Source organism: Homo sapiens, chromosome X (genome assembly GCF_000001405.40).
Source record: "Homo sapiens chromosome X, GRCh38.p14 Primary Assembly".
NCBI classification, from domain to species: domain Eukaryota; kingdom Metazoa; phylum Chordata; class Mammalia; order Primates; family Hominidae; genus Homo; species Homo sapiens.
Window position 1 is genome coordinate 24,699,942 of NC_000023.11, and position 15,998 is coordinate 24,715,939.

General features: G+C 43.3%; 1 protein-coding gene across 16 annotated transcripts in view; it reads left to right on the forward strand.

Moving 5' to 3' along the window:
• The window catches only part of POLA1 (DNA polymerase alpha 1, catalytic subunit), a 303,069-nt gene that overhangs the window by 6,024 nt on the left and 281,047 nt on the right, over positions 1-15,998 (forward strand). For 13 of the 16 annotated variants that reach the window (NR_165483.1, NM_001440806.1, NM_001330360.2 and 10 more), the window contains exons 3-6: positions 3,310-3,406; positions 4,448-4,528; positions 14,613-14,728; positions 15,200-15,262. Coding sequence is in view for 14 of the 16 variants with exons in the window: in NM_001440806.1 (NP_001427735.1) it covers positions 3,310-3,406; positions 4,448-4,528; positions 14,613-14,728; positions 15,200-15,262 (357 nt within the window). In the remaining 2 variants the exon portion in view is untranslated. Of the gene's footprint in view, positions 1-3,309; positions 3,407-3,439; positions 4,363-4,447; positions 4,529-14,612; positions 14,729-15,199; positions 15,263-15,998 lie in introns of those variants that run through there. The other 3 variants (NR_165482.1, XM_047442181.1, XM_047442182.1) reach the window with 2 other exon arrangements.

The following is a 15,998-nucleotide window of genomic DNA, read 5'->3' on the forward strand; positions in this document are numbered from 1 at the left end:
TAATCTCATTTGCAAGGGTAGTGGCAGTGGAGACTTGGACCTTAACTTCTGCCGTGTTCTGCTTGTAAGATTGAATGTGATGCTCTTTTGGTTTTCCTCTACCCACTGTTTATGGCCTGCAGGTCAAAAACAGAGTGGCCACCATCTGCATAAATATTGTCTAGCATCACCTTCAGGGCTTCCTGAGTATCTTAATTGCCTTATGGCCAGAAAGTGATTAACCAATACTAGAAAATAACAACCATAACTGATAGACTTTTTGAACTAACATATTATTCTAAGTGTGTTTACCAATGTGTTTATTCATTTAATCTTTTCAATAACCAAATGAAATTAGATACTATGATTAATAACATTTTGCAGGTGAGATATCCGAGGCACAGAAAGTTTAGTGAGGTTACAATGGCAGATTCTTTTTTGAACCCAGACAGTCTGGCTTCAGAATATTTCTGTTTAACCAGTTAACCAAATAAAAGAATATTTGCCATTTGTCACCATTTGTTCAAGTTAAGTGAGGCAACCAGATCATAAAAGGTTGCTAAAAGGATTTCAGTAAAACAGGAATAAAGCATTTTTTTTGTTTTTGAGATGGAGTCTCTCTCTGTTGCCCAGGCCGGAGTGCAATGGCACGATCTTGGTTCACTGCAGCTTCCACCTCCCAGGTTCAAGCGATTCTCCTGCTTCAGCTTCCCGAGTAGCTGGGATTACAGGCGCCCACCACCACGCCTGGCTAATTTTTGTATTTTTAGTAGAGACGGGCTTTCACCATGTTGGTCAGGCTGGTCTTGAACTCTTGACTTCAAATGGTCCACCCGCCTCGGCCTCCCAAAGTGCTGGGATTACAGGCGTGAACCACCACACTGAGCCCAGGACTAAAACATTTTTAATGTAGGTACTTGTATAAAGGAGTTCCATGGGGCATTTCAGATGTTGGCACAATGTGGCTGATTTCCCTTTAACACTGTGATGTTAATTGTATGGCTCTAAGAGTTCATGCTGAGCAGTAGTAATGTTGTTTTTAAAGATTGAGTCGAAATGACTTTTTACTCAAAATGATTTTTAAAAATAGTTTTCTGGTATCTCCTTGATAATATAGTGAATCACTTAAGTAAGAGACAAAGTCTGTCTTCAACCAACAAAAATAATAACGCCAGTTCCCCTCCCACCCCCAAAAAAGAAAGTTGGTCAGTATAGTAATATTAATTGGACTATTTTGCATCTCTTTTGTTAAAAGCTTAATTTGGTAAGGCAGGTTGTTTCTGTTACTAGATGGTTAAAGACCAAATCAGTATTTGCCAGTGATTCCTGTAGAGTAGGCTAAAAAGGAGGTGAAAACTCAAATCCCGTAATTATTATAAGCCTTATAGGTGTGGCAGAAATCCAGTCAGCTCTGGCCACTGGATTCCAAAAGCTCTGTCCAAGTTTTTTCCTAGGGTATTAACTCTTCAGATGGAGTTGTTTCTCCCGTACTCCATTTGAGAAAGGTAGAACTCTTTTTTTTTTTTTTTTTTGAGGTGGAGTTTTGCTCTTGTTGCTCAGGCTGGAGTGCGATGGCATGATCTTGGCTCACTGCAACCTCAGCTTCCCAGGTTCAAGCGATTGTCCTGCTTCAGCCTCCCAAGTAGCTGGGATTACAGGTGTCTGCCACCACGCCTGGCTAATTTTTATAATTTTAGTAGAGACGGGGTTTCACCATGTCGGTCAGGCTGGCCTGGAACTCCTGACTTCAGGTGATCCACCTGCCTTGGCCTCCCAAAGTGCTGGGATTACAGGCGTGAGCCACCACACCCGGCTGAGGTAGAACTCTTGAGAGAATGGGAGAATTTTTTTTTTTTTTAATCTCGCTCTCTCTCCCAGGCTGGAGTGCAGTGGTGTGTTCTTGGCTCACTGCAACCTCCACCTCCCAGGTTCAAGCGATTCTCCTGCTTCAGCCTCCTGAGTAGCTGGGATTACAGGCGCCCCCCACCATGCCCAGCTAATTTTTGTATTTTTAGTAGAGATGGGGTTTCACCACGTTGGCCAGGCTGGTCTTGAACTCCTCACCTCAAGTAATCTGCTCACCTTGGCCTCCCAAAGTGCTGGGATTACAGGCGTGAGCCACTGCACCTGGCCGAGAATCAGGTACTTTTTTTTTTTTTGAGATGGAGACTCGGTCTCTTACCCAGGCTGGAGTGCAGTGCATGATCTCGGCTCACTGCATCACTGCAACCTCCACCTCCCGGGTTCAAGTGATTCTCCTGCCTCAGCCTCCTGAGTAGCTGGGACTGCAGGCATATGCCACCACGCCTGGCTAATTTTTGTATTTTTAGTAGAGATGGGGTTTCACTATGTTGGCCAGGCTGGCCTCAAACTCCTGACCTCAGGTGATCCACCCACCTGGGCCTCCCAAAGTGCTGGGATTACAGGCGTGAGCCACTGTGCCCAGCATTTGTTAATTTTTAATAAGTATCTATGAGATTTTGCAAACCAGCCCACCAGAGTCTCATCTGGAAAGTCACTGGCCTTTCCCCATGGGCAGCTGCAGCAGTGGTGTGTATCTTTCATTTGTTGCTTTAGCTGTGCAGAGGTTGTCTGCTTTACTCATACCAGTAGCTCATAGTGTTCTGACCCTCTTGCAGTCAGGCAGCCAATATGATTGGAGGACCTGCCACTCTCTGGACTTGCCTTTCAAATAGCTCAGCGTTTAAGTCCTTGTGTGGTTTCAAGACCTGAGGATGGTGGAGTTTCAGTGGTAATACAAACAGGGTCACTCAAAAACTATTTCTGGTTTGCCTGTAGAATATGCAATATGTTTGTTTTGCTAATTTTTGGAAGGGGATGGATGAGGGAGATTTTCCTTCTGAATTGTATTTGGTTGATTGAACAGGCATGAAAATTATCGTCTATTTGCAGAGCGTACATCAGCTAGTGGAGAGGGAAGTGGCATGCCTTACAGGTTTGCTAAGTGTAGGAGAAACCAGTCTAGAAATTACAAGTGAATAATTCCCCAAAGCAGCTAATGAAGAATTGGCTATAATTCAGTTTGTTTTTTATGAAATAGATGAGTAATTGATGGTATGACAAGTGTATTATGCTAATGGAATCATTTAATATCTTATGTTAACACCCACCTAAAAGGAATACTAAGTTAATTGATGTCTATTTAAGGAAAACCCTGTAGTGGTGTTGAATGTCAGAACTCATGATTTGGTTGCAGCTACTCCTTCAGTCTGCCATTCCAGTTTCAATTTGACAATTTTTTCATCAGAATTATTTAACACTTTGACTCCTCTATTTGAAGCTTTTTTCCTGAAACTTGTATAATGGTAGGTCGAGGACTTCACAGGTGTTTATGAAGAAGTTGATGAAGAACAGTATTCGAAGCTGGTTCAGGCACGCCAGGATGATGACTGGATTGTGGATGATGGTAGGTGGGGCGGAGGTGGGGGCGGGGATGTTGCTTCCTAGGCACTGTGTTAGTTGCTTCTTGTAGATTCTCACTCATGTGGTGGAGTTGCTGCTTTGCCTGGGCAAATGTAAGGCACTGTTAGGATCTTACCTTTGGTTTGGATTTTCCTTTAATTATTTGAGGATGAGGAAGCAGAATAGCAGGACATTTATTTGGGGATATTTTGGAGAATCTAGGCACATACCTCAGGATGTAGTATAAATCCTCCAGGTAATGGCTGTGTAAGAATTGGGAGGAGCCCCTTGTCTGTGGGGCCAATGCACAGCGCTTGGAATTAAGGAATGCAGGTTCGGGATCCATCATTCCTACTTTCCAATTCTATGACCTTGGACAAGTCACTTAATCTCTCTGCGCCTTAGAGTCTTCATCTGTAATATGGGGATGAGAAAACTACCTTCTCCCAGAGTTGTGAGGTGTATATGAGGTTCTAGGTATGAAAATTAACTTGGTCAGTAGAAAGCACCATACAAAGGCTGGTCCTAATGTCCTGTGCCCCTTCTGAAAGCTCATTGGTTCTCACTTGTAGGGTCTGACTTCATGGCCATGTGAATGCTGACCACAGGGAGCATGTAGATTGTGCCTGTGACTATTTATGTTTCTACTTGTGTAGTTGGATTCAGCTATATTGCCAGTTTTCCCTTGTAGACTGGGATATCTCTCTGGGCTTGTGGTAATCTTGATTCTTTTACTTTTTATTCTTCTGGTAGAGTAAAACTGCTATAAAGCATCCTATTGTGGCAGACTTTGATCCTTTGGGCCAAATCGTTTCCTGAGGTCACCTGACTAGGTATAATATATATCATTTGGTTTTGACTCCACACCTGCTGTGTGGATGCTGTGCATTGTCTGACACCTGTGTGAACAGAATTCTGCTGCACTTAAAAATAGCACAGGCCAGGAAAACATCTGAGCAGGTATAAAAGGTTTTTTTGGTCATGGCTAAAATATTATTGGCCACTTTTAGAAATTTGATCCCAGTATTAAATTTTGTCCCTGCAGATGGTATTGGCTATGTGGAAGATGGCCGAGAGATTTTTGATGATGACCTTGAAGATGATGCCCTTGATGCTGATGAGAAAGGTACCTACCTTTTGTTTTCCAGGGTGTTGTTTTGAGATTTAAAGAATTCTCTAAAATTAGAGATGACTTGATACTCTGATAGTTTACCTTTGAGAGAAGGACCTAACTACCATTGTTTTTAGATACGGAATATGTTCTAAGATGAAGAGAAGTATGGTTTTGTGGAAAATTAAACATAAAAAGCAGAAACAACATCAGGAAATGAAGTTTCATGTCTCTGTTATTCAAGTAGTGTGGTCTTTACTTATTTTGAAGTTTTCAATCCCGTGGTCATTTAAAACTTGCTGATTTTGAGGGCTGCAACAGTAATTGATCTTTTTTAATTCCTACTGAAGTTATATACTTAGAATTTTAGCTCTTTGCTAATTGTATAGCACAATAACAAGGTTTAGAACTAGAGTAATCAGCTTGCTTTGTCTAATTGAAATTTAAAATAATATGGTGAATGTGTCAGATTGTCTTAGCTGTACAATCATTGGCAATTTTTTTTTGAGTAAACAATCCTGATTTAGTTCCTGTAAAATGGGAATGGAAAATTCTCTTCAGTATTTTTTTTTGTTTAGTTTGTTAATTAGTTTTCTACTACTGAGTGGTAGATTGGGGTCAGCAAACTATGGCCCTCTCACAACCAGTTTTTGACAAAAAGTTTTATTGAGATACAGTTCACATACCATACAATTCACATATTTAAAGTATACAATTCAGTGGCTTTTAATATAGTCACAGAGTTGTGCAGCCATCACCACAATCAATTTTAGAACATTTTTGTTACCCCAAATGGAAATCTTGCCTGTTTTTGTGTGGCTCTCGAGCTAAGAATAGTTTTTATGTTTTTAAGCGGTATTTTAAAAATAAAAAATGCAAAGAATATGTAACAAAAGAATATGTGACCAAAAGCCTAACATCTGTGCTGTCTTGCCCTTTACTGTCTGGATCCTCATTTGCAGAATAATATTTTGCACCATTAGTTTTCTCTCTCCTTCCAACCACATACACAGAGACTTTTTGCTCAGTGAACTTTTAGAACTTCAGCAGTGACCTCCTAAGAATAAGGATACCTGACTACTTAACCACAATAACATTATCATGATATTATCTAATATATTGTCTGTATTAAAAGTTTCCCAATTAGCCCAATAGTATCTTTTAAAGCTATTTTAAATGCAGACTCCATTTTTGTTTTCATGTCTCTTTAGTCTTTTTTAGTGTAGAACAGCAACACCTCCCCCCCTCCCCTGCCCCTGGCCTCTTTTTGTCTTTCATGACATTGATTTTTAAAGGGACCAGGCTGTTTGTTTTGTTGAATGTCCCACAATCTGAGTTTTGCCCAACTACTTTGTTGTGCTTAGATTTGGGTTAAATATTTTGGCAACAATAAATAAATAGTTATAAATAAATGCTTTGTCAAGACCTACAATATAAAGTCTGTCCTTCCCATATCAGGGGCATATGACGTCACTTGTACCATTATTGTTGATACTAAGTTTGATCTTTTGGTTAAGATGATATTTGTCAGATTTCTTCCTTGTAAAGCTACTTTCCTCCCTTTTGTAATTAATGCAAAATAGGGGGTGATAATTTGAGACCATGTGTATATCCCATTTCCCCATGAATTGTTACCCAGTGCTTTTAGCATCTATTGTTGATCCTTTCTCTTCTTTTAAAAATTAATGCTTCAGACTCATGTATTTCTAAAAGATTTACTGTTCTAATTCAGTAGCCATTATTATCATTTTTCCTTTTTATGTTCAAATTATCTCAGATTTGGCTGGTGAGAGCCCCTTTAAGCCACCTCCTATGTTCTTTTGACATGGCTCCATCAGTCTTTGAGGATTTCCTTGCTTTCTGGGCCAAGAGGATAAGATGTTCCAGGTTTAGCTTGCATTCTTCCTGCCCTGGACCTGGAACCAACCATTTCTCCCAAGAATCCTGGTTCCTTTTAGTGGGGAATGGTATCCAGATATGGGAGATGGATGTACTCATTGCTATTGGGGTGTAACGGCTTCTAGGCCCTTTCAGTGAACAGAACAAGGAAATTATATATGTCATGAGTTCATACAGATATATTTGATTGGTTGAAATCCAACATCACTGGGTTCTTTATCTTCCCAATTCTATATTTGTATCTGCCTTCACCCTCAATGAAAACCCTTGTCTTCTAAAATACACACAAAATAATGTCAGAATCACTAAATCAATATCTGTACTAACAACCTTTCTAAGTAAAATTTATGATTTCTCTACAGTTTTATTTGTTCTTGTTATATATCCTAAGGGTCTATAGTCAGAGTATTGTGTTCAGAAGCTATATAAAGTAATTTTTTGTGTGTTTTGTATTGATTTACTATGTAGGTTCATTTTTTGTTTGTATTCAAATTTCAGTTTTAAAACCTTTTAATTTTACTTCTGAATATTGTAAAACATATGATTTAAAAATGAAAATCAGTAACTTTTTTATTAGTTTCTGGTTTATTACAAAAAAATAAGCATATGTATTTTTTTCTGTGTGATGTTATTTATTTATTCATTGATTTATTAGTTAAATTAGAATATGTGAACCATCTTCCTGGTTCTGCCAACCTGTATAATGTGGAAATTTTCTACACTGGTACCATTTGGTAGCAATGTGGCCAATTGTGTATTTCTAGTTTGTGTGAGTCCATGAAGAAGAGAATGAGCTCATGTGCCACTTTCATCTCCCTGAACTGAGGAGGCCTATGTTAGAGTTACGGTTCTATTGTTAATTGGCGGTGTCATCTTGAACTAATCCCATTACCTATCTGGACTTGAGTTTTTGTCAGCTGTAAATTAGGAAGTTGGAATGGACAGTGAGCTTCTCAAAGAAAGGACTCATGTCCTGGTAATCTCAGTGCTAATCACAGTAGTGGACTCAAAGTAAATATGTAGTTTTGTTGAATAAAGGAGCCATCTCTGTGTTTCCATAGTCATCATATTATCTCTTCCGAGTAATAAGTTACTGAAGAGAATGATTTGATCTGGAAGAGAGCTAGTCTTAGAAATTTTTATTTCGTGCTTTGCCACCACCATTCACCCACAAGTCCCCACTGTTTTAGTGTCCATTACTAGGAGCCCAGTAAGGTCACAAGATCCTAGGAAGGAAAATGGACTTCTGCAATGTACTTTAAAGGCTTATAAGAAATTACTAAGTTTTGCTTAGAAGTAAAAAGTCAACTATGGTGTGGCTCTAATTCCTGGGATGTTGTTTTCAAACAGAGAAAAATGGCCGGGTGCGGTGGCTCACGCCTGTAATCCCAGCACTTTGGGAGGCCGAGGTGGGCAGATCACCTGAAGCCAGGAGTTCAAGACCAGCCTGGCCAATATGGTGAAACCCCATCTCTACTAAAAATAGAAAAATTAGTCGGGCGTGGTGGTGGGCATCTGTAAACCCAGCTACTTGGGAGGCTGAGAATCTCTTGATCTCTTAAACCCGGGAGGCAGAGGTTGCAGTGAGCCAAGATCGTGCCACTGCACTCCAGCCTGGGTGACAGGAATAAACAAAACAAAACCATAGAGAAAAATATCAACCAAGTCCCAGTGAAGAAAAATTAGCAGGAAAATGCAATAAAACAAAACAGAAACACTAAACTGTGGAAGAATTCCACCTCAAATATTTACTTGTATTCAAATTTTTATCCTTCTGTCTAAATCCTGCCAACCTACAGTGGTGAGATTAAAGCCCTCTCATGAAGCCTTCCTTGCTATTCAAACCTCTGTTGACCTCCTCTGTTCATACACTATCAAGACCTGAATTTTATATACTAAACATTTTGACTATTAATTACATTCTGTTTTCAGAGTGCTCCAGATGATACAGATCTCCTGTCTCACATTTTTCACAAATGTCCTACAATCCTTTTCACAATCTTAGGCTCATGAAAATACTTTTTTTTTTTTTTTTTTTAATTTATTTTTTTATTGATAATTCTTGGGTGTTTCTCACAGAGGGGGATTTGGCAGGGTCATGGGACAATAGTGGAGGGAAGGTCAGCAGATAAACAAGTGAACAAAGGTCTCTGGTTTTCCTAGGCAGAGGACCCTGCGGCCTTCCGCAGTGTTTGTGTCCCTGATTACTTGAGATTAGGGATTGGTGATGACTCTTAACGAGCATGCTGCCTTCAAGCATCTGTTTAACAAAGCACATCTTGCACCGCCCTTAATCCATTTAACCCTGAGTGGACACAGCACATGTTTCAGAGAGCACAGGGTTGGGGGTAAGGTCACAGATCAACAGGATCCCAAGGCAGAGGAATTTTTCTTAGTGCAGAACAAAATGAAAAGTCTCCCATGTCTTCTACTTTCTACACAGACACGGCAACCATCCGATTTCTCAATCTTTTCCCCACCTTTCCCGCCTTTCTATTCCACAAAGCTGCCATTGTCATCCTGGCCCGTTCTCAATGAGCTGTTGGGCACACCTCCCAGACGGGGTGGTGGCCGGGCAGAGGGGCTCCTCACTTCCCAGTAGGGGCGGCCGGGCAGAGGCGCCCCTCACCTCCCGGACGGGGCGGCTGGCCGGGCAGGGGGGCTGACCCCCCCCACCTCCCTCCCAGACGGGGCGGCTGGCCGGGCGGGGGGCTGACACCCCCACCTCCCTCCCGGACGGGGCGGCTGGCCGGGCAGAGGGGCTCCTCACTTCCCAGTAGGGGCGGCCGGGCAGAGGCGCCCCTCACCTCCCGGACGGGGCGGCTGGCCGGGCAGGGGGGCTGACCCCCCCACCTCCCTCCCGGACAGGGCGGCTGGCCGGGCGGGGGGCTGACCCCCCCACCTCCCTCCCGGACGGCACGGCTGGCCAGGCGGGGGGCTGACCCCCCCACCTCCCTCCCGGATGGGGCGGCTGGCTGGGCGGGGGGCTGACCCCCCCACCTCCCTCCCGGACAGCACGGCTGGCCAGGCGGGGGGCTGACCCCCCCACCTCCCTCCCGGACGGCACGGCTGGCCAGGCGGGGGGCTGACCCCCCCACCTCCCTCCCGGATGGGGCGGCTGGCCTGGCGGGGGCTGACCCCCCCCACCTCCCTCCCGGACGGGGTGGCTGCCGGGCGGAGACGCTCCTCACTTCCCAGATGGGGTGGCTGCTGGGCGGAGAGGCTCCTCACTTCTCAGACGGGGCAGCTGCCGGGCGGAGGGGCTCCTCACTTCTCAGACGGGGTGGTTGCCAGGCAGAGGGTCTCCTCACTTCTCAGACGGGGCGGCCGGGCAGAGACGCTCCTCACCTCCCAGACGGGGTCTCGGCCGGGCAGAGGCGCTCCTCACATCCCAGATGGGGCGGCGGGGCAGAGGCGCTCCCCACATCTCAGACGATGGGCGGCCGGGCAGAGACGCTCCTCACTTCCTAGATGTGATGGCGGCTGGGAAGAGGCGCTCCTCACTTCCTAGATGGGATGGCGGCCGGGCGGAGATGCTCCTCACTTTCCAGACTGGGCAGCCAGGCAGAGGGGCTCCTCACATCCCAGACGATGGGCGGCCAGGCAGAGACACTCCTCACTTCCCAGACGGGGTGGCGGCCGGGCAGAGGCTGCAATCTCGGCACTTTGGGAGGCCAAGGCAGGCGGCTGCTCCTTGCCCTCGGGCCCCGTGGGGCCCGTCCGCTCCTCCAGCCGCTGCCTCCCGGGCGGCGCTCGCCGGCGCCTTTTTTTTTTTTTTTACTGTGGTAAAATATGTATAACATAAAATTTACCACGAGTGACATTTAGTATATTCACAATGTTTGCAACCATCACCATCATCTTGTTCCAGAACATTTTCATCATCCAAAATGGAAGCCCTGTACCCATTAGCAGTCACTCCCCAATCTCTCTTCCCCCAGAGCCTGACAACCATCAGTCAGCTTTCTATCTTTATGGATTTGTGTATTCTGGACATTTTACATTTCATATAAATGAATCATGCAGTATTTTATCTTTTGTGTTTGGCTTTGACTTAGCAGAAGATTTTCAAGTATCATGTTTTCAAGTAGCATGTATCAGTACTTCATTCCTTTTTACTGCTGAATAATATTCTGTGTGGATGTACTACGTTTTGTTTATTCATTAGTTGATGGACATTTGGATTGTTTCTACCTTTTGGCTATTGTATGTAGTGCTACTATGAACATTTGTGTACAAGTTTTTGTTTGAATGCCTGCTTTCAATTTTTTAGGGTACTAACCTAGGAGTGAAATTGTGTATATGTTGTGGTTTTTTTTTTTTTTTTTTTTGAGACAGAGTCTCGCTCTGTCACCCAGGCTGGAGTACAGTGGTGCCATCTTGGCTCACTGCAACCTCTCCCTCCCGGGTTCAAGTGATTCTCCTGCCTCAGCCTCCCAAGTAGCTGGGATTACAGGCACGCGCCACCATACCCGGCTAATTTTTGTATTTTAGTAGAGACCGGGTTTCACCATGTTGGTCAGGCTGGTTTCGAACTCCTGACCTCGTGATCTGCCCACCTTGGTCTCCCAAAGTGCTGGGATTACAGGTGTGAGCCACCGCGCTGGCATGTATATGTATTTTTATTTCCTTTTCTTTCTTTTTTCTGAGACAGATTCTTGCTCTGTCGTCCAGGATGGAGTGCAGTGGTGCGATTTGGGCTCACTGCAACCTCCGCCTCCTGGGCTCAAGCTATCCTCCCACCTCAGTGTCCCGAGTAGCCAGGACTACAGGCACATCCTGCCACGCTCGGCTAATTTTTTGTGTTTTTAGTAGAGACAGAGTTTCGCCATGTTGCCCAGGCTGGTCTCAAACTCCTGGGCTCAAGCAGTCCGCCCGTTTTGCCCTGGGAAAGTGTTGGGATTACAGGCATGAGCCACGGTGCCCGGCCCCTTTTCTTTCTTAAACAAAAGATAATGTTATAGAGGTTTTGTACTTTGCTTTTTTCTTGTAGCAAGATGTCTTGAAAATTACCCCATATTAGAACATAGAGAGCTTGTTTTTAATTATTTATTTCTATGTAGCTGCATAGTATTCCATGATAGGGATTGCACAATGTTTATTCAAATGGTTTCCTTGGAAGGACATTTAGATTATTTTGAGTAATTTGCTATTATAATGCCACATCCAATAACTCTGTGCATATGGCGTTTTCCTCAGAGAAAATTCCCAGAAGTGGGATTGCTGGCTCAAAGAGTAGCTACGCATAAATTTTTTTTTTTTTGAGATGGAGTTTTGCTCGTTGCCTAAGCTGGAGTACAATGGCGCGATCTCGGCTCATTGCAACCTCTGCCTCCTGAGTTCAAGTGATTCTTCCGCCTCAGCCTCCTGAGTAGCTGGGATTACAGGTGCCTGCCACCACACCCAGCTAATTTTTGTATTTTTAGTAGAGACGGGGTTTCACCATGTTGGCCAGGCTGGTCTCGAGCTCCTGTCCTGAGATGATCCACCCGCCTTGGCCTCCCAAAGTGCTGGGATTACAGGCGTGAGCCACCACGCCCAGCCCACTACACATAAAATTTTATTAGCTATTGCCTATTCTTTATAGGAGCTGTCCCATTTTACACTCTCATGAACAATGTATGAATGTCTGTTTCTCTACAGCCTTACTAACAGTGTTTTCAAGCTTTTGAATTTTTGCCACTCTGATATGTGAGAAGTGGCATTTCAGTGTGGTTTTCATTTGCATTTTTTTTTGTTTGTTTGTTTTTGAGACTGAGTCTCACTTTGTCACCCAGGCAGGAGTGCAGTGGTGCGGTCTCAGGTCATTGCAACTTCCGCCTCCTGGTTTCAAGCGATTCTCCTGCCTCAGCCTCCCAAGTAGCTGGGACTACAGGTGTGTGCCACCATGCCCGGCTAATTATTGTATTTTTAGTAGAGATGGGGTTTCACTATGTTGGCCAGGCTGGTCTCGAACTCCTGACCTCGTATTCCGCCCGCCTCGTGGCCTCCCAAAGTGTTGGGATTACAGATGTGAGCCACCATGCCCAGCCTCATATGCATTTCTTTTACATATGAAATTGATCATCTTTTCATAAAACGTAACTATTTATATATGTTTGTGTTTACTGCCTGCTTTCCTTTTGGGCTTTTTATCTTTTAAGTTTTTAAAAGTTCTTTGTCAGGGAAATTGGTCCTTTATCTGTGATACATATTGCACAAATTTTTTCTTCATTTTTCTTTTAACTTGGTTTTCTTTTTTCTTGGTTTTTCTTTTTACACCAATTCTGGTGTAATTGAATTTATCATTTTTTTTCTTGCAAGTGGATTCTGAGTCATAGAAAGATTTTCACTGGACCCAAATTGCAAAGGAATTGCTTTTTAAAAGGTTTTTGTAAAGTTTCATTTTTAAAAATTTTGATTTGTGATCCATTTGGTGTTTATACTGGTTTACTTCTTTACAAATGGCTAGCCAACACTACTTAATAAAGTCCATCTTTTCCTTAGTGATATGGGATGCCACCTTCATTATATATTAAATTTCCATAAGTAATTGGGTCTTATTCTGGACTTTATGTTCTGTTTCATTTGGTCTATTTGTATGCCACTACCACATTCTTATTTTTTTTATTTTTTTATTTTGAGACAGAGTCTTGCTCTGTTGCCCAGGCTGGAGCGCTGGAGTGCAATGGCATGATCTCGGCTCACTGCAACCTCTGCCTCCTGGGTTCAAGCGATTCTCCTGCCCCAGCCTCCCGAGTAGCTGGGATTACAGGCATGCACCACCATGCCTGGCTAATTTTTGTATTTTTAGTAGAGACAGGGTTTCAGCATGTTGGTCAGGCTGGTCTCGAACTCCTGACCTCGTGATCTGCCTGCCTCGGCCTCCCAAAGTGCTGGGATTACAGGCGTGAGCCACCGCGCCTGGCCTACCACATTCTTTCAATTATTCATTGTTGGCTTTTTTTTGAGATCAGGACTATTCTGGGATGAATCAGAAAGCGAGAGTAAAATTGACGGTATTAGAAAAGTTTGTAGGTGATTTACACATAGCCGTAAGAGAAAACATATGGCAAAAGTTTTGTTTGTTTTTTTTCTTTTTCAAGACAGAGTCTTGCTCTGTTGCCAGGCTGGAGTGCAGTGGCGCGATCCCAGCTCACTGCAATCTCGCCTCCGGGGTTCAAGCGATTTCCCTGCCTCAGCCTCTCGAGTAGCTGGGATTACAGGCATGTGGCAACCACGCCTGGCTAATTTTTTGTATTTTAGTAGAGATGGGGTTTCACCATGTTGGCCAGGATGGTATCGATTTCCTGATCTCGTGATCCGCCCGCCTCGGTCTTTTAAAGTGTTGGGATTACAGGCGTGAGCCACCGCACCCGGCCAGCAAAAGTTGTTCTTTAATGAGCAGATGTCTCTGTGCTGTTTAGTGTTGATATGACATACTGTGTATCTGGTTGCTGTTTCTCATAAAATGGAAATTAGGATGCCACCATATCATAATTGGTAATCCCATTTCTTCACAGTTAAATTTTCCTATCAGATTCAGTATACAGCTAAAGAGATGATCTCATGAAGGCTACTAGGCTAATTTCTTGGTTCAAGATTAGCTTTATCTTTTTATTTCTGTGGGGAAAACAAACCCAAATTCTCACTTTTTTAAAAAGCTTTTTATTCACATTAACAATAGCAGTTAAGCAGTCACACTTATGCTGATATTTAACTGGTATTTCATTAGTTTCTATAAAAACATTTGGCCCATGTTTTCTTGAATTAAACTCATTTAAAATATTTTTTCCTACATACCTTGTATAGAATCTCATAGTTTTGTTTTGTTTTGTTTTTTGAGATGGAGTCTTGCTCTGTCGCCCAGGCTGGAGTGCAGTGGCGTGATCTTGGCTCACTGCAAGCTCCACCTTCTGGGTTCACACCATTCTCCTGCCTCAGCCTCTGGAGTAGCTGGGACTGCAGGCGCCCACCACCATGCCCGGCTAATTTTTTGTATTTTAGTAGGGACAGGGTTTCACTGTGTTAGCCAGGATGGTCTCGATCTCCTGATCTCGTGATCCTCCCGCCTTGGCCTCCCAAAGTGCTGGGAATACAGGCATGATGTATTTTTAATTCTTAACATTTTTCTTCCCAATAGAGATCAAGTGACTAGGCTTTTAGTTTTCCATTTTGATTTTTGCTGATGCATGTTTCTAAATAATTCATATTCCAATAGGAAAAGATGGTAAAGCACGCAATAAAGACAAGAGGAATGTAAAGAAGCTCGCAGTGACAAAACCGAACAACATTAAGTCAATGTTCATTGCTTGTGCTGGAAAGAAAACTGCAGATGTGAGTTTCATGGTTTCCTTATTTTTTGTATTTTCCTTTGTGAGGTGAATTTAATATTTGATTATACAGATAACAGGTGCTCTGTATATATTTGAGTAACATTTTTCCAATTTCACTCACTAAGTTGGATGTAGATTTCTAAGTGAATTAAGGCACCTCAGTGGTTGGAACTTGCGAAATGGAAAAGAGAATTGAACAGAAAAGCTGAATTGAGAGTGTGTTTAATTTTAGTGAGTAGCAGGAAGATCATGGATTAAGGGCGAAAGTAGAGGATGGGAGCTATAGATGTAGGAATGCTATATACACAGGTGGTTGTTAAAATCTGTGAATGTAGATGAGCACTCAGAGAGTGAGGAATGAAGAGGCAAGGACTAACTGGCTAGGTCCTTCCTTTCATATACATGTGTGTAGTTTTGGTGAGACATTTTAAGTGCAAGGCTTTCTCATGTTACCTTTCTTTATCATTTCCAGAAAGCTGTAGACTTGTCCAAGGATGGTCTGCTAGGTGACATTCTACAGGATCTTAACACTGAGGTAAATGAATCTCCAGGAGTTGTAAAATATGCAGAGGACATAGACTGAAGAAACACTCTAGTAATTATACAAAACAGACTATTGCCAGAATTTTTTCTTTTTTTTTGAAACAGTAGCTTGCACTGTTGCCCAGGCTGGTGTGCAGTGGTGCGATCTTGGCTCGTTGCAACCTCTGATTCCCAGGTTCCTCTTCCCTGATTCCTGCCTCAGCCTCCCGAGTAGCTAGGATTACAGGCACCTGCCACCACGCCCGGCTAATATTTTGTATTTTTACTAGAGACTAGGTTTCACTATGTTGGCCAGGCTGGTCTCGAACTCCTTACCTCGTGATCCGCCTGTCTTGGCCTCCCAAAGTGCTGGGATTACAGGCGTGAGCCACTGTGCCCGGCCTGTTGACAGAATTTTTTAAAATGTAAGAACGCCAACAAAAAACCCCCCACCAAAAAACAAAGAAACCCCCTTCAGATTGGTTTTATCCCACCATTTTAGGTGAGTATTTCCAGCTGTTAGAGCTGTGTGATTATGTAGATAGGGATGTGTGGGTGTGTGTTTGAAGTAGTAAGAATATACCCAGGAGTCAGTTCTGTGAGTGCTCACTGCTTGTGTTCAGTTGCTGTGGTGTATGTTCCCTAAATAGATTGAAGCCTGTCAATCTGCACAATCAGGTATAAGAGCCTTGTCTTGAATTCTGAGTGGGAATGAAGGAAGAGTGAGTGAACTATCCCTGATAGAACTC